The 19,050-nt window shown below is 37.3% G+C and overlaps 1 long non-coding RNA gene across 3 annotated transcripts in view; it reads left to right on the forward strand.

Annotated features, from left to right (window-relative positions):
* Nucleotides 1-19,050, forward strand: part of LOC105373899 (uncharacterized) — a 101,158-nt gene that overhangs the window by 53,271 nt on the left and 28,837 nt on the right. For all 3 annotated transcript variants that reach the window (XR_923942.1, XR_001739235.1, XR_001739234.1), the window contains 2 exons: nt 9,289-9,471; nt 9,575-9,753. This is a non-coding gene — a long non-coding RNA (uncharacterized LOC105373899). The remainder of the gene's footprint in view (nt 1-9,288; nt 9,472-9,574; nt 9,754-19,050) is intronic.

The following is a 19,050-nucleotide window of genomic DNA, read 5'->3' on the forward strand; positions in this document are numbered from 1 at the left end:
CTCCTCCCTTGTTGTATCAGAAAGATCACAAGTTCCAGATGGCTGCCGCAAGATGGCAGAGCCAAAGTAGGCAGGGGTTACTGCATGAAGGCTGCAGAGCCCTCATCAACCTAAGCTGGACATTGATGTGGACAAGAAACAAATTATCTTTGTTGTTTTAAGCCACTGAGGTTTTGTGGTTGTTGATTACCCCAGCATAGCCAAGACTCTCCTGATGGAACACCTCATTTAGTCTCGGCTCAAACATCACCTCACCAAAAAAAGTCTTCCCTGACCACCCTATCCAAAATAGCAGCCCTCTCCCTGTCACTCTTCGTGCCCCAATTTGGCTTTATTTTGTTTCATTTGATCTATTTTCCTCATAGAACTTAGAATGGAAGCTCTGTGAAAGTATAATCTTTGATTTGTCCATTAACATACTAGTTAGCATCAAGAATAGTCCTTGGATATAGTAAATAATCAATAGCTATTAGTTGAAAAAATGAATATTCATCAAAAACTGAAATATAGATATATCAGTATAATTAAGAAGGTAAAGTTCCATGTAATTTCTTCTTCCAGAAATAATTACTAATGTTTACGTTAAAAAAATTGTATTCTATTGATATACTAGCTCATGTGTAAATACATTACTTTTTTTCTAAAATGGAATGTACTCTCCTAAATGAATTATTCTGCAACTTGTTATTTTATGTAACAATTACTCATGGATGGTTTTCATGTCAGTGTTTAAAGAATTCTCCCTCTTTTTAAACTGATTAGTATTTGCCTTCTTAATAATTGAAAGTATAAGTTTCCCAAGGTTTCTGAAATTTAGTATACATTGATTGCATCTAGTACTTATTGCATGCTTGCCATTCTAGGGTCTGGAGACTTGCCAATAAGCAAGAAGACAAGGTTCCTACACTTAATGAGTTTATGTTCAAGTTCTGACATATTATAAACCAAAATATTTTATATGGTGATAAGTATAGCAAAGAAAATAAAAATAAACATGGTAATGTGATGGAGAGTGGCTGGGGCTGGAAGTGATCAGAGCAGACTTCTCTTGGAGGGACTTTTGACATCATCTCAAAGATGAACAGGAAACAGATCTACATATATTTGGGAAAGCAGAGTTCTAGAGAGAAAGTGCTCATGGGCAACTTCGCCATAGCTGATGAGTAGAAAGGCCAGTGCAGCCAAAGTGTGATTTTGAAGAGAAGTGTGATATAGAATGCTATAAACAAGGAAGACTCTGATAATGTGGAATGGTAGGTGCTCAAAAAATGTAACTAATTAATTCCTTGTTTTACAGCAACAAGCAGAATTTCAGTGGTAAAATCTCAATAAATACAATGTGAAAAATTTATCATCTTAGTCTCTGCTTATAGCATTTCATAGGACATACTAAATCCGTAGGCTGGGAAGAATCCTGGTATGTTTCAGCTCTATTATAAGGCACCATTAGGATGGCCATAAAATGTTTAGCCCTTAAAAATACTTTCTCAGCAATATATCTGAGATAACCTTAAATGTTATTTCAATGAAATGTTTCCTAAGTCCACTGTTTTTAAGGGTGTTTATAGTTCAAGAAACTTCTCAAATGCCATCTCATAAAAAAGATCTAACTTTAAGATTAACTTAGACAGAAAAAAACATGTCACAGAAGACCTGGTATATTACTTAAATTCTATCATTATTGTCTTCTGAGAAGGAAGCAGGATTGATTCTGTAGTGGCCTCAAGTAAGTTCTTAAAGGACCTGTTTCTTTACAAATGAATATATATCATTGGAAATAAAATTCTTTATGGCCTATAATTCAGAAGTGAACTTTTATGAAACACTTTGGCATTATGGATATGTGTCCAATGGAATGACATATAACTTAAAGACCTAGATTGTTTAGTTCCTGGGGACTCATTAAGATAAATTTTGGGGCAGTAGAAACCATATTTCTTGACACATCCTGTTTACTTAATTTGAGACAGGTGAAGGGAATTAGAGCACTGTGTTCTTACAGGCACAATTTCTGTTTCTGTTAATTATTTTTTTAATGCGCTCTTTAATTCCCAGTGGTGACAACCTTCTGAAATCTAAAGAAACAGCTAGGGAAGAAGTTGCAGAAGTTGAGCCCAGGACATTAAAGCAAAGGGGCGTAGTAGCTATGGGGCGGTAAAATACACATACCTTAAATTTCTAAGAATCTTTCATTCATCGATGAGAAGTTCATGTAGATTTGAGGAGTTTCATGTGGATTTGCCCTGTTTAATTAACTTTCTTTGGTACGCTTTACATGTTTCACACTGGGAGATATGTGTGAGTTGAATCAGAGCAGCATGACAGTATTTTTGTCAGTGCTGGAAAAGCAAATTGCTCCTTTCAATTACCCAATTCCTTTCTCACTGAAGCAATACACAATCGAGTTATAAATGTCATTCCTCTTTCCCCAAAGGATATTCTGGCCAAGAACTTCTATGTCCTCTTTTGGTTTGGTTTGGTTTGGTTTTGCTACTACCACTGAAGTAATGAAGGCAACATTCATTGTCCCTTGCCATTTAATGGACATAATAATTTCCAGCCAGCACAGGTTGTGATGCTGAAACCAAGAAAAAGCCTTTTCAGTCATAGCCCCTGCATTTCAATCCAAGCCCCTGCTGTAGAACACTGGAGAACAAGGTGTGAATCAGTTTAAGAACACAGTTCTGCATTCACGGCATTGTGGTTTACAGCTCCCAAATGACCTCTATCTATCTTCCTTAGCTGTAGAGGTGTATAATTGAACCTAAAGAGAGTCTTGAGTAATGAGGTTGAGAGTGGCAGCTCCATTGCTGTGGCTTAATAGTGTAACTGCCGCATGCTTTTTTATCCCCTAAGATGTAACAAAATAGTCTAGTAGGCTCAATTCTTCAGGGTGACACTTGCTGAGAGTCTATATTTCAAAATAGAAATAGGATTTTATAAGCAAAAAACTATAAATCTCTCTCTACAAGACAGTTCCCAAAGTATAATTACGTAAGCCATTCTCTGCTGGAGCAGAAACTAATATGAATACATGCAATAACCCGTACTTCTTTTTGTTGGGAAATTATTTTTAAACTTTATTTTTCTTATGCAAGGAGCAGCTGCTTTTTCGGGCTGTCAAGGGGCTAGGGAGTCACAATATTCTCACGTTGTGCTCTGCTGGGAGCTATAGTCAGAGGACTCACATTATTGCCAGTTTTTTTATTTTTTATTTTTTTTTGGTTTGGTTTGGTTAGTGAAACTTGTGAAAATGTTGTTTTTAGAAAATTTATTTTTCCAAGGAGCAGTTCACTTACAAATAATTTTTTTTCTTTTAAGAATATATAGTTTATGTGCATTTATCAGCCCTTGACCACATGCCTATTGCTATGTGAGGACATTAGTAGAATATAAAAACTGAACAAAGATATAACCACCTGCTCATGGAACTCTCCGTCATTATAGTATTAGCTGACCATTAAGAATAAGCCTATTAAAGACAGTCACTTAATATGAGTAGTTTGATCCCATGGAGGGTTTCGGGGGCTCTGAATCTCCATTTTCCCCACAAACTAGACCCTAAAAATCAAAAACAAATATCCTGACTGCTGACTGTGCTTGAAATTCCATCGCTGAACATTCAATCCTATTGTACAAGATACTCCTTGTTAAAAGCTAAATCTCGCTACACGAAGAAACGTATTAAATAATAGTAATAACAAGAGCTAATGCTTAATGGGAGCTTACAACACTCAGAAGAGTTCTAAGCACTCTATATTATTTAACTCATTTCATTCTCGAAACAACATATTAGTTGTCCTCAGTTTACAGATGCAAAAACTGAAGCAAGGACAGAGGCTCCGATTCACGTACGTGGGAGCCAAGACGGTCTGATTTTGAGGCCCTTAGTCTCAACCGTTCTTTTAGTATGGATGAGTTGATCAAATCCATTAGGGGGAACAGAGGAGGAGGGCTGGAAAGGTTGAGAGAGAGGAAGTTTGCAGGATCAGGATCTTCTTTTCAGAACTCACATCTCAGCCTGGGACCAGCAGTGGGGGTTGTCTGTTTCGCAGATCTGGTGATATCACTGAATTCTCTTGAAAACCAATGTATCACTTACACTATGAGTGAGTCACAGAGGGTCATCGAGGTCAAACCTATCTTCATAATAATATATGCTATCTGCCATTTTCACTTTTTTGACATTTGCAACGATGATACAAAAGCAAACTCTGGGTAAAATGGCTGGCGACTCAGGATGAATTAAAGCAATGGCACCAAATGTTAAATTCTTCTCTGCCATACACTTGCAGTAAAAATGTGCCAGTTTTACTTAGGAATAACCTTGATGAAGTGGTAAAAATTTAAAATTATTAATTTTATTAAATTTTAACCCTGTGCACATGTGCTTTTTAATGTTCTGTGTAATGAAATAGGAAGAGTGCATAAAATACTTCTTCTGAGCACAAAAGAGTGATGGTTGCCTCAAGGAAAAGCACTCTTGAGATTGAGTTACTAGTTGAACTAGCCGCGCTTTTTGTGGAATACCATTTTTTTTATAGACAAACTTGGGTTTTGGGTAAATATGTTATCTAAAATGAGCCTTCCATTCCAAGGAAAACAACTGACAAGATTTGGTGCTAATGATAAAACTTGAGCTTCTAACCAAAAATTAGAATATTGGAAAACTTGGCCACCGTGAGCTTCAAAGCTTCCTAAAACTTTAAGACTTTCCTGATGGGGTTAGTGATGCTATTGAAAAATGTGACTTTAAAAATATTATATAATCAAACATGTCAACAATTAAAAGATCTGCACAACTCAGTGAACCAATATTTTCCAAGTGTAACATCAATGTATGATGTTACAAAATCATGCATGAGTAAAAGATCCATTGAATGTGCTAGGTAGGTAAATCAATGGATTTCAGTGTAAAAAGAGTATGAAAAGTTAATTGATATAATTTCAGATTCTACATTGCAACTAACCTTTAGAAAACTACCACCTGTTTAGTTTGACTAATGTATCAAAAAAGAAACGCAAAATTATATGAAAAAGACATTAAAATATTTCTCTCATTTCCAACTACACAGTAGCATGAAGCTAAATTTTCTTCATATACTTCTACCAAAATTACATATTACAACATATCACAGAAGCAGATATAAGAATTTAGCTATCTTCTATTGAGCCAGTATTAAATAATTTTTTTAAATGCAAAAAGTGTTCCTTTTTAGTTTGGGGAGAAAAACACAGTCTTTTTAATCTATATATAAATGCTTATGCTAACATGGAATGTGTTTATTATTGTTATTTTAAATGGATTAATAAGCAATTTTTGAAGGTTTTCTATTTAAATTTTGAACACAGTGACTATCAATAGATGTGACCTACATAAAAGTTCCTTGAAGTCTTTAATGTTTTTCAAAAATGTAAAGGATTCTGGTCTATGGACTGCACTTTGAGAACCACTGTATATCCTTTAGGGTAGACAAGGCATCTGACAATACAATGTCCTATGGAGGGCGGTTTAATGAATAGAATAAGTTACGCTGTGAGGAGTTTTCACCAACTGTGAGCATTAGAGGAAATAGTCCTCCACATAAGACTAACTTCACTTCTGCAATCAGTTGCAAGCTTAGGGGTCCCCAGAACCACTCTTAGATAATTCACTAGAAACATCCAAAGAACTTACTGTAAACAGTTACAGTTTATTACAGGGAAAAAATACAGATTAAAATCAAGGACAGAGTCCAGGTGGAATCTAACTGTTCAGTTTACAGTCATCCTCTCCCCATGGAGTCATGGACAGTGTTAACTCTTTAACTCCTTCTGGCCACAATGTGTGACACACACAGAGTATTGCAAGTGAAGCTGACCAAAGCCTCAGTGTCCAGAGATTTTATACAGCCTACATGGCTGACCTGTAGTCTCCAGACTTTTCAGAGGTCAGGCTGATACTTCTAGACTCCAGTTCATTCAAAGGCAAAACTGAAATGACTACTTCCACCAAAAGCCCCCATTGTAAATCACACTGTTAGACTATGTGGTGACTGAGGTCATCAAAGACATGCCTATCAGGTGTAATGTTTCAAGGATTCAGACATTACCTTCCAGTAGTTGAAGGCAAAGACCAGACCTCACTTTGGGTAAGGCTAGTTCTTTATTACACATTCTCTTAATGAGAACACTTGATGTGGGCACTATCGGGGCTGGATCAGCACCTCAACAATATCCTCAAAGACTCAGGCCCTAACCTTATACTCTGCCATCTCCATAGTGTTGGCGTTTTCTTCACTGTGTTGGCCTTTCCTCATTGTTGTTATGTGAATGCTAAATAGCAACCCAATTCCAGGGATTTTATGCTCTCTCAGGATTCAAGGGGAAGAAGCAAGGTGTATGGGAGGGCAGAGGGAGAGAAAAATGTTTCTGGAAGCCTCCCAAGTAACTTACCCTACATCCTTGGTCAGAATGATGTCACAGGACCACACTCCAGCTTCAGAATGTAGCTAGGAAAGTGAACTTCTGATGTCTACTTTCCCAGGGAAGCAGAAGGATAATGATTGGCTTAGCACAATTATGATTCACTGCGGCTCACAGGAATACCAGTAGTTAAAAGGGGAGGAGGATGACTATTGGGTAAAAGAACCCTTCTCAAACATTAATGTGCACACAAATCCCTTAGGGCCTGTGCTAAAAATGCAGCTTCTGATTAGGTAGTTTGGGGATAGGGCCTGTGTCTGCATTTCTTAAAAACTCTTCTGTGATTCTGATGCTGGTCTATGGATTGCATTTTGAGTGACAGGGAGTTAGGAAACAGTGTCGCGGTGAACTGGGTACAGATACAAATAGTGTGTATCCCATAAGACCAAATTTGCTCTCAGTACAACTGCTATGTGAAGTAAGCATGCCACAGGATTACAGATGGTAGAATTTCAGATCAGACAATATTAATTGTTACAGATGGAATTTATTGAGAGGTTATTATATACCAAGAACTTTACTTCATTTAACTTTCACGACAACTTTATAAAGTAGGTATTGTTTTCATCTCTATATGAGGAAACAAAGACTGGAAAAGGATAAGTAAATAGTCCTTATTCAGTAGTATTTGTTGGCAAAGCTTGAAAGCAAACCTGTTGGCCCCTAGAGCCTAAACTCTAAGACACTAGAATATTGACAAACGCCCTTATTACACAGAATGAACTTACTTGAGATTTCACAGTTGATGCCAAATCAGGAAGTTCCTTGGCCGGTCCCCAATCCCCACTGTACTTCCCTGTTCCTCCCTGTAACGAATGAGGTGTATAATGGGCAGTTGTCTCTCCCTCCTTCCCTCTCTGATACGCTGCCTCCAATTCATTAGCCTAATTCCTGCTACTACACACAAAAGGGTTCTAGTGGATTTTTCTTCTCTTTGAAATGAAACATTTATTTTCTAAATTGAGTGTCCTGTTATTTTCTAAATATGATATGACTTCTTTCTAAACCTTCCCATTATGTTTCTGATCCTGGTGGAAACGGTGCATTCTAGAAAACTGAACATGAATAAATACACATGTAATAGACTTTGGAGTTTTAAGTTGATTTGTTTGTATTTGTTCCCTTTTGTTTCTTCATTTATTTGTTCATTTTTGAAACAAAGATAAATTGAGCAACCTCTGAGTGTCAAGCATTGTTCTAGTTGTTGACAATATGGACACAGACTTAAAATTTTTTTTTTAAATAAAAATATTTTGTTGGAAAATGTGCTACTGTTCCTGGGATGCTTCCCAGGCCATTTAGACACAACCACATCTTTCACAGCCTTCCACTAAGGAATAACCTATATGTTTATACCAATTATAGGTCAACAATCTTTTCCCAGATGCCAATCCCAACAAATATGAGACTAAATGAGCAATAAAGAAGAAGAGGTAGTGATCTTACTCAAGGACACAACTATGTTGAAGCTGTTCATTGCAGAGTTTTTCTCTCAGAGCAAGATATGTCAAAAACGACTAGTAGCTTGTATATCTAACAATAGAGAAATGCTTAGGTAAATTATGGTACATCACTTTGATCAACTTGTATATCACAGAGCTATTACAAATAATAATTGTACATTTTGACAACATGAAAATTATTTAAAACATGATATGAATATGACAAGTAGTTAAGATGTATTAATCCTGAGTAGTAAGTGTTATATTATTTCCAATACTGCTAAATGTTTAATGTAGTTCAGAATTTTAAAAAGAAAAAGAGAAAAGGATAGCTAATGAGTTGAAAGGCAAATGCAGTCTTCTCCAGTTCTACTGTCTAGAGAATTCATCTGACAACTCCCATGCCCACTGTGACTGCCTTAATTCAGACCTTCCTATTTCTTGCCTAAATTTCTGCAGCAGTCCTTTTATTCAGTCATGTGTTCAACAAAAATTGGTTAGGCTCTGGAAACACAGAAATGAAAGATTTGTACCTGTCCTCAAATTGCTTAGTTTACATTTGAGACATTGCTTCTTAATTAGTCTCCCAGCCTCTGGACTCTGCACCGCCTCCAGGAGTGTTTTCTCTAAAATATGACTTTGATGATGTTTAAAATCATTCAGACGTTATCTGTTGCCTCTGATGATGTCCAAAGTCAGTGTAGTGTATAACATCCTTTTCTTGGGATGCTATTGGCTTTTCTAGTTGCTTCTGTTGCCATTGTTTTTTATCCCAACTGCCTTTTCTAAACCTTGTGCCATTCAATAAATGTACACCATCACCTTCTTGTCACTCATGGTGTTTGCCCTGTTGTTTTTTCCACTTGGCAGCCTTTGCAGCCCTTACAAACCTGGCCAACTATAGCTCAGTTTCAGGATTCACCTTGGGTTGGATTCTCTGGGAAGACTCCCTTCCATGCTGGGTCAGGTGCCTCCCCTAGAAATTCTCCTCATTAGTAAGCCAGTACTTACCAATGTTACAGTGCTTATCACTCCGTACTGCCCCATCTACTAGTCAATGATCTTTGGGACAAAGACAGTATCCTTTATTTCAGACAGTGTAGTGACTAATGCACAAGATTTTGGAGTCAGCCCAGGTTTGTATCCCAGCCACACCCTTTTGTTATTTAATTTATTATTAGCTCATTGAGCTACTGTGTGCAATTAAATGAGATAATTCAGGCTTTGCATATGGTGATCTTGCAACACATTTAAGCTGTTCTTATTTCTATTGATTTTCAATCTCTTCATCCCCACAGTGTTCAGTGAGCATTTGACAAATGAAAATAGAGATGAAAGAAATAGTGGCTTCTAAATTTAGGAATGATTGCTTTTGATCTAGACATTTCAGCTAGTGCCTCTGTACTCTGAAAAATACCTGGAAAGGACACACCAGAAAGAAGAAGCCACTGAACAGGAAAAGGCCATGAGAGATGAGAAGATGATCAACGGAAGAGGATATAGGATGAAGATACACAAGTTCGGGTGGGGAGGAGATGAAGAAAAAGAAGAGGATAATTGGAAGGTAAATTAGACTCTTGTAACTTGCTAATTATAGTGTGGCCATTTCCTATTTGCAGTAGAAATCTGTAGAACTACCTCTCAGGAGGTTCCCTTTCTTCTTCTAGGAAATATCTTTCTCTACCCCTGACCAAATTGACTGGTTTGAGTTTGTTGCCTGACGTAAGCAGCATCAATGGGCCCAAGGCTGTGGTACATAAAGCCCACAAACTATGTGGATCACGGTATTCATCCAGATTGGAGAAGAATAAGGCTGCCATTTTAGGCCAAAAGGGAGGAGAATAAGGTGACTATGATGTTCAAGAAACTATTTCTTATTGTTTCTGAGGCTCAGATGACTCCATGATCTCTGTTATTTGGGCAGTCCATGAAATAATCTAGTGTCCTTTCATTGATTTCCTTCTGCTTATACTAATTTAAGTTGGGTTTCTATTATGTGCATTCAAAAGTGTAACTAAACTTTATCTACGTGGCTCCATTTCCTACTGTATGCCTCTATGCACCTTCTGTTCTACTCACTCTGAACTATTTAACTGATATGGTTTGGCTGTGTCCCCACCCAAATCTCATCTTGAATTGTAGCTTCCATAATCCCCAGTTGTTGTAGGGGGGGAATGTTCATAATCATTATGTCCAAAGACAGAAACCACAACAAAACATGATGATATATTTGACTACATAAAATGTTAAATTTAAATATCAAAAACCCATCAATGAATAAATAAGGAATATTTAAAGTTTTGCACATAATAACACATTTAGAGAAATAACATATTTTATTTTCAATTGCATATATATAATATGTTATTTTATTATTATTATTATTATTGAGATGGAATCTCACTCTGTCGCCCAGGCTGGAATGCAGTGGAGCGATCTCGGCTCACTGCAACCTCTGCCTCCCAGGTTCAAGTGATTCTCCTTCCTCAGCCTCCTGAGTAGCCAGGATTACAGGTGCCCGCCACCATGCCTGGCTAAGTTTTTGGTGTTTTTTAAGTAGAGATGGGGTTTCACCATATTGGCCAGGCTGGTTTCAAACTTCTGACCTCAAGTGATCTGCCCGCCTTGGCCTCCCAAAGTGCTAGGATTAAAGGTGTGAGTCACCCACGTGGCTAATATGTTATTTTAGTTGCATAAATGTAATATATTTTAGTAGTCTTTTTAGTATTAAAATGACTAATTATGCAAGTTGATAATAGAAAGATGAATATCTGAATAGAGAAATAGGCAAATAACACAAGTAAAAAATTTTTTAAATTAAATATAAAAATAACAAACATTTGTACATTTTTAAATTGTACTAGAAATGGAGGAACAACTACTTAACTGTTTAGTCCCTGGTTTGCCCACCCACTCACACATCTCATAGCATATCCACAACATGTTGTGTATTTCTCTATTGCTTTTCTCATTCATCTCTGTATTGTGGTTATTTTACCACCTGTCTCTCTCACTAGACTTTAATTCCTTTTGGAAAACCCAATGTTCTGTTTCTCTTTCATGCATTAACTCGCAGCATTTAGTTGGGCTCCATGAAGGTTTATGGAATGAATGATTTGGGTGAGAGAGTGTCTTAAAATGGGCATGCTCCACTAAATAATTTGTCATTGTCTCTCTAAAGCTGCAAGGTAAATGTCTTTACTTCCTGTGATATTTGTTCCTGTAATTGAAAAATCTCTATTCTTTGTATTAATGCCTTATTTTTCTGATTTGTCTTCACTCTTATACAGTTATGGGCAAATTTTCTTCATTATAAAAATATTTTATCTCAGAACCAAATGCTCCGTTTACTAAAATGACACTTTATCTGGTTATTGTGATTTTTCCCCATCTCCTCTTTCTTTTGTTATTATTGGAACTTCCATTTACACCATGCAAGGTGAATTTTTTTAAAGAAGTGATCCATCCTGCAGAGTGTATTAATTTCAGCATAAATGTATGTAAAGTCAACATGTCAGCTATTTTGATTTGCATTAAACTCTATTCTTACTTTGTATTTTATGCCGCAAAAGCTGAGGATGGGGGCGGGGGTGTTGAGTGAAAAGGATAGACCAGCACAGTATTCATATCTTAGCTTGATAGAGCAGTTTACAATAAATAAATATATAATAATCTCACTATAATAAAGTTTCACTAAAGTGCAATCATAAATCTTAGGTCAAGGGAATCAAAAACATAATTCAGAAAGGCTTTTGGGGACTTTGAGAGTGGAAGGCACTTAGATATCAGTCAGAACTGAGTTCCAATCTCAGTTACCTCACTTACTAGTTGCATAGCCTCCTACAACTCAAAATAAATTTTTATAAATAAATTCAGTCCTGAAGCAAGATCGTAAAGGATATTCTAGGTAGCACCTGCATAAAAATGCAAATCAGTCTCAATCAGTCAAATAACCAGAAAGCTTTCATTGAAGCTTTGCTTTATGCTGAGCAAGGTGTAGTGCATCCAAAAACACACGCACAAAAAACAACAACAAAAGCAACAATGCAATAGCTTTAAAAAAACAATCCAGGTCCCCTTGTTTGCTCTGAGTTCTCTGTGTCAAGACTTGCTCTGTCATCCCTCATTTACCTCATGGCATATATGACTGTTGTTGATCCTTTTTAGAAACCTTCCAAAAACAAAAGCAGAAATATAAAAACAGTGGCAATCAAGTATATTTTATATGATATAATGTTAGCATTTTAAGTTAGTGGGAAAAGCTATATTTTTAATGTTAACTTTTTCTTTTTTTCCTTTTTCCTTTATTTTTTTAGATAGAGTATTTTTCGGTAGCCAGGCTGGAGTACAGTGGCGCGATCTCGGCTCACTGCAACCTCCGCCTCCTGGGTTTAAGCGATTCCCCTGCCTCAGCCTCCCAAGTACCTGGGACTACAGGTGCGTGCCACCACACCCAGCTAGTTTTTTGTATTTTAGTAGAGATGGGATTTCCCCATGTTAGCCAGGATGGTCTCGATCTCCTGAACTCGTGATCCACCCACCTTGGCCTTCAAAAGTGCTGGGATTACAGGCATGAGCCACTGTGCCTGGCCCTTTAATGTTAAATTTTTTAGGTAAATCATCAGCTATTTGGAGAAAAATAATAAAGTTTAATCTTGACCTTATGCCATATTGTAACATAAATTCCAGGTGTAGAACAAATATAGAAAATTAAACCACAAAGGACTATTAAAGTGTAGGTGAATTTTTATACTTTTGGGGAGAGGAAAATCTTCATAAGCATTATCTCCAAAGACAGAAATCACAAAACATAGTGATATCTTTGACTACATAAAATGTTAAATTTAAATATCAAAAAGCCCATTAATGAATAAATAAGGAAAATTTAAGGTTTGCATATGATAAAGTATTTAGAGATATATTTTATCTTCAATTGCATATGTATTATAAATTATTATAATTGCATAATTATAATATATTTTAGAAGTCTTTTTTAATATTAAAATGACTAATTACAAGTTAATACTAGAAACATGAAGACCTAAACAGAAAAATAGGCAAATAACACAAATAAAAAATTTATAAAATTAAATATACAAATTGTCAATAAACTTTTGAAAATTTTAAAAAGTTCACTAGAAATGGAGGAAGAAAAGTGAAAAATTAAGACAATACAAAAATTAATAATTATAAAATATAACTACATATTAAATTGCTAGAAGTTAGAAACAATAGTATCAAATGGAGACAGCATAATCATAATAATATCAAATAAAGACAGTTTTACACAATGATGGGAGATAGTTATAACTTTTCTGGAGGGCAATTAGGCACTAAAAGCCTTAGAAATGTGCATAACTTTGACATAGGAATCTCACTTCTAGGAGTTAATGTTAAAGGAATAATTGAACAAGTATACAACAAGTTAGTCTTCATTATTTTTAAATGATAGAAAATTAGGAACAATCTAAATGACCAACCACAAGAGATGAGAGATACTAGCACCTCTGTATAATGAAATACTGTTCAATCATTTAAAAGTTTCACAGAGGTGTATTTATTAACATGGAAATATATTGAAGATACAAAAATGGTTAATTATAAAAAAAGCTGTGAAATATGAAATTAAAAAATAAAATGCCTAGATAGAATGATGTTAGAACATTGGCCGGTAGTTCTCTGGATGGTATGATAATGGGCAATTTCTACTTAAAGCCAAACCTTTTTTTTTTTTTTTTTTTATTTTCCAAGTTTTTCTACGTTAGGTATTCATTCAGCCACCTCTTGCAACTCATCTCAAATTCTTTAACTTAAGCCCGTCCTGTGGCACTCGGCTTCCGGCACGGAGACCCCACCACACCTTGCTCCCTCTCCATAGATTTTCTGCTCTTTGACTGCAGGCGATTTACAGCATTCACACCCCACAAGGCAATCTTTAACCCACAGGGATAGAGTCATCAGATAAATACTCTATTGTAATGTAAAATGCATTTTTAGGCCCCTCAACAGGTCCCAGCAATTTATCCTTGGTTGTCCACAGCAGTGACCAGATCATTGTTGTGCCCAGAATACCAGCGCCATAACAAAGTTTTGCAATGGTCTTTCTCCCGTTTCACTCTTCCCAGTCTCTCCCTCCTCCTCCCAAATACACTTTCTACATGCACATAAACCTTATCTCAGGCTTTTCTTTGAGGGCACCCAGACTAAGACATGCATATATTAATTTCATCATAATGAAATTCAAGAATACTCAAAGCATTTGATATAATTTTAATGCAAATAAAGGCTCAGAGTTCTAAAGCACGTGAATAACAAAACAGATTTTTTTTTAATGTAGTAGTACTTCTGGAACCACAGGAGAACTCTGCTGCCCATTAGGCAAGCTTAATACTACAATACTACACAGTACATTGCCCTTAACTGTTTTCAGGCTATTACTTAGATTTTATAGGAAATAGATCTGCACCGCAGCTAGAAATGGTAAGAAATGGTTGAGCAAAGGACAGCTGTTTCCGGTTCCACTGGAGGAATCCCACTGCATGGATGATGGCAAAGATCCTAACATTGTTTACTACTAGAAGCAGCAGTCCCAAGATGTCAACGCTCTGCATGGTTTGCAGTTGCCAGGGTCACCAAGAAAGACACCATCCACACAGGCACTGAATGGACCAACACTTTATGCATATAGAGCAGAGACAAAGCAAGATCAGCGTCAACAATGAATGTTGGTGCCCACAGCCAGCAGGACTTGCCCTGCATCAGGGAGATGGTCTGCTCACACTCATAAGCCACTCTCTCCCCTCAAGGACCAGATACAGCGGTGGGATTGGCCAGGTGCCATGTGATACACACGCTGAAGCAAAGAAGTACACTTCAAGTCTGAAATAGGGAAAAAGACTCTCAAGAGTTCCGGTAAAGAACCTTTATAGCACAGGCTATAAAGTTTCTTTATTTCTCTGTAATGAAATGTTCTAGGACCATGGCACATTGCCACTAAGCAGGAGTCAAAAGACTACACACAGGAGACTGCCTTTCCCAACAGGGATTCAGTGGTTTAAGACATGACATTCATAGGAAGCAATCCCACAGCAGCTATAAGAATAAAAGTGGATTCTAGGCTCTATATTCTGTCTAGGTGAAACTTTTAGTATGGGTCAGAGGAGTTATTATTATTATTATTATTGTTGTTATTTTTACAGGACCACCTACCTTTATGGAATTAGAAAGGTCTTTTCTTTTTCTAATTACTTCCCACTTCCTGGCAAGCCTTGATAACCTAATTCAATGGTGCTCAGAAGAGCCACAGAAATCTACCATTAAAATTGATGGATGGCAGTCATTTCTCACATTGCAGGGAAAATTAAGTTTATAGATATCATCTTTTTCATTTTAAGTATTTCTTCTATAACTTTGGCCTAAACCTTTGGCATCCGGTCTCCATGGTCTCTGTTAGAAAGCAGTCTACAATGATATCTAATTTAGTACAGTGACATATTTATTTTGCAATATAAATTTGATTACCTCATAGTGTTTTTCAAAAATACCATTCCTTTGGGTGGCTGTGCCACCTGAATTGTTTGAAACATTATCCTAGTGGAGCATAGTTTAGCTGTTGTACTTTATTAGCTGCCTAAATAGTTGTGTGAGTACTTCACAGGAATTGCCCCAATGTTAAATGAGAATCAAAGAGGTGGAAAACTAGAATCTGGCCAAGATTTCCTTGAACATCGTCTGATTTTGAATCTATTCTGTTTCCTCTGATTGCCTCTCGCAGGAGCCCTTGAGGAAGCTTTAGAGAGCAACTGGCATTCTTCTCCTTCCAATGCAGCCCTTTGAACCTCCCACAACTGATACAGTTGCAATGGTCTTATTCATTACCAAGTAATCATTAGAAGTGATAATGTCACAATACAGTGCTAATTGAAAGGTTAATTCAGCCACAGAAATTTGCCTTAATTGATGAACTGATACCTCATGGGTGAGAAGCTGGGTGTCTTGTAAAGCATCAAACCATGCAGGCACAATGCATTACAGGACCCAAGAAATCCAAAGGAATTTTCAAGACAGAAACACCCCAGCTGAATGGGCTGCATGGAGTAGGGATTCTACAAGACAGCAAGATCAACATTGGTGTGTCTAGGGGGTTATTGAAACAAGCAAGGGCAAAAAATACTGTATGCCCTCTCCATGACTTGAGTTCTTGAAGTGTCCTGCAAACTTTTCAGTATAGCTGGAGCCCTTTCTTCAAGTCAAATCCCAGAGGAAGATCCAACCACAGCTGTCCTATTTGAAATGAGACGGTGAAGGTCTGTAGCCCCCCTAATCTCCCTACCAATTTCCTCCCCACCCAGCCCTTCCAGGAGCTGATATGGGAGTATTTAAGCAGATTTCAGAGTGGAGTCTTCAGCTGAAGAAATGTGATAAATTCCTAGAATATACACCAGTCCTTCATGTCAGAGCAGCCTCTGGCATGAAGATTACACTGAGATTTACTGAACTTGGCTCATCTATCTTCTTGGTTTTCACTGCCTGTCAACCCTGGAAATTATTTACCTTCCCAGAGTTTAGACTAATCCCTAGTTTTCTTCTTTTCATTGCCACCCTGCTTATTCACCTGTCAGATGGCAACTATATTTCTTTTCGCTCTGGAGAGTCTACTTGCTTTGAACTTACTTGGTAGATTATAGGGTCTGAGTACCTTAACTTTTGGGAATTCCACAGACTGCTTTGAACCATTAGAGAATCTGATTATAGCTTTTCAATTGTGTCTCTTTCTCCTATATTTTTTATTTATTTATTTTTGAAACGGAGTTTTGCTATTGTCGCCCAGGTTAGAATGCAATGGCACCATCTCAGCTCAGTGTAACCTCTGCCTCTGAGGTTCAAGTGATTGTCCTGCCTCAGTCTCCTGAGTAGCTGGGATTACAGGTGCCCACTACCATGCCTGGTTAATTTTTGTATTTTTAGTAGAGATGGGGTTTCACCATGTTGGCCAGTCTGGTCTCAAACTCCTGACCTCAGGTGATCCACCCGCCTTGGCCTCCCAAAGTACCGGGGTTACAGATGTGAGCCACCACGACTGGCCATGTTTTTCCCATTTCTTTAAATTGGAACCTATCACTGTATGAAGAGAAGGGGAGGAACATGAGTTTGCAGCATGACTTTCCCAACATCTCTCTCCAAGGATGAGCCCAGGTTGTCCCTATAAAATCCAGAACCCAAGGTGTAAAGGAGTAATCTCCCCCACTTTTTTGATGATGTTGGGGGAACTGGAAGGTAAAGCCTGGAAAATTCTGTCAAGTTAGAATCCTAGTTATCAATCTTGATGCCTCCTTACCTCTTACATCCCACATGCAAGCCCTCACCAGGTGATGTCAATTCTGCCTATTCAATCTCTCCAATCCCCTCCACTTTCCTATTCCCAGTGTCACTGCAGGAAAGTCATACCTTACTTCAAGATCAGGCTGTAAACCGTTGAGGCTAGGTGAAAGTCATGTATTGTTACAATTATCCGGAATGCCTCGGGAAGGTGCCCCAGTGCAGGCAGACTTACTCCTTCTCAGTAAATCCAACAGTTTTCTCTCTAGGGTTGGAACAAATTGCTGTTTCTTCAACTGAGCACTAGTTGAAGACATTAATATGTATTTAGGGACCATATTGGATGAAAATATATACATATTTAAACCCTGTTTTGACATTTAGCATGGTGAGATATCTATACGGTGGGATGCACAGAAATTGAAGAAACAAGAGTTTCGTATCTCACATTTTGGGCTTTCTCTGGAGCATACACTCCTTTCACCCAGTGAGGAAGTGTTGGCATTATCTAAAGTGTTATTTCTCTATGTCTGTTTTCTTTCTCCAATTCTCTCCCCTCTCTTTGTTGTTTAGAATGTATAATTGAATGCCAGTAATATGATGGGACTCTATTCTGTTTATTTTTAGGTACCAACATCTCTTGTCTGAATTACAATGAAAGTTCTCTAAAAAGACTCTTATCCCCCAATACTAATCTTCTTCAGTCCATTTACCATCTGAACGCAGGATGATAGCTCAAAAACAAATTTGATCATGCCTCTCCCTCCCTTTTCTTTTTAAAATCTTTCAACCGCTTCTCATTGTGACAAGTCCAAAGCCTTTGGCATGACATAGGAGCCCTTCGTAATCATCTCCCTGTTCTTTGCAAGTCTCTGCTCTCACCACACTTACACCCATCCCACTGCCATTTCCAGTGAAATCAAACTGCTTGCACTCTCTAAAAGGGCAATACTTCCCATATCTCAAGGCCTTTGCACACATCCTCCGTCATCATCCTTGTGTGACTAACTTCTCCTTGTCCTTAAGATTTCAATTTAAACATTAAGTCCTCTGGGACCTTCTTTGCATATCTGTAGCACTACCACTTCTCCTGCTGGCTAAACCTTTGCATTTCTATAACTGTAGAGTATTCAAGTCCCCAGTGAAGTCTTGAGCAATCACTCCATATTCTTAACACTCTAAGGAAAGTGAGAGACTTAGACACAATTTTGTTTCATAAGCCATGTTATTGATTTCTTTTCCTGTAACACCAGCTCATTTACAACTCAACAGCAATAATAATTATTATAATTACAACAATTTAAGAAGAAGAACTAACACATTTGCAGTGTATATGCCAGGTATTCTTCCAAGATATATAATCTATATATGATAAATATATTCATGTTTACTTACTTATACACACATATATTTGCTCTTTTTATCTACAGAATTGCTATTACACTCATATCACAGGTGAAGAACCTGAGTCATAGAGAGACACTAACTAACTTGCAAGGTGGACACAGAGAATACACACATACAGCTTTTCAGTAAGTTCAATCCAGCCAGTCTTTCCTTCAGTATAGGAACAAACTGGAAAAATCAGGATCCAAGCCCAGGAAGTCTGATCTAAGAACCTGCCTAGCCAGTGTGTCCTCAGCTTCTCTCATGTGTCTGGACTAACTTCTAGTATAGACTTTAGTTTGCCATTCTTTCCAGTTGACAGTTACCTACTTTTCATGCTAGCTGCTCAATGGGTGTTCATGCTGCATTGAACAGAAAAAAGTATTCTTCAAGAAGAGCCCACCCTTAGAAGGCTTACTATGCATGCATGAATAAATTT

The sequence above is a fragment of the Homo sapiens genome, chromosome 2 (genome assembly GCF_000001405.40).
Source record: "Homo sapiens chromosome 2, GRCh38.p14 Primary Assembly".
NCBI classification, from domain to species: domain Eukaryota; kingdom Metazoa; phylum Chordata; class Mammalia; order Primates; family Hominidae; genus Homo; species Homo sapiens.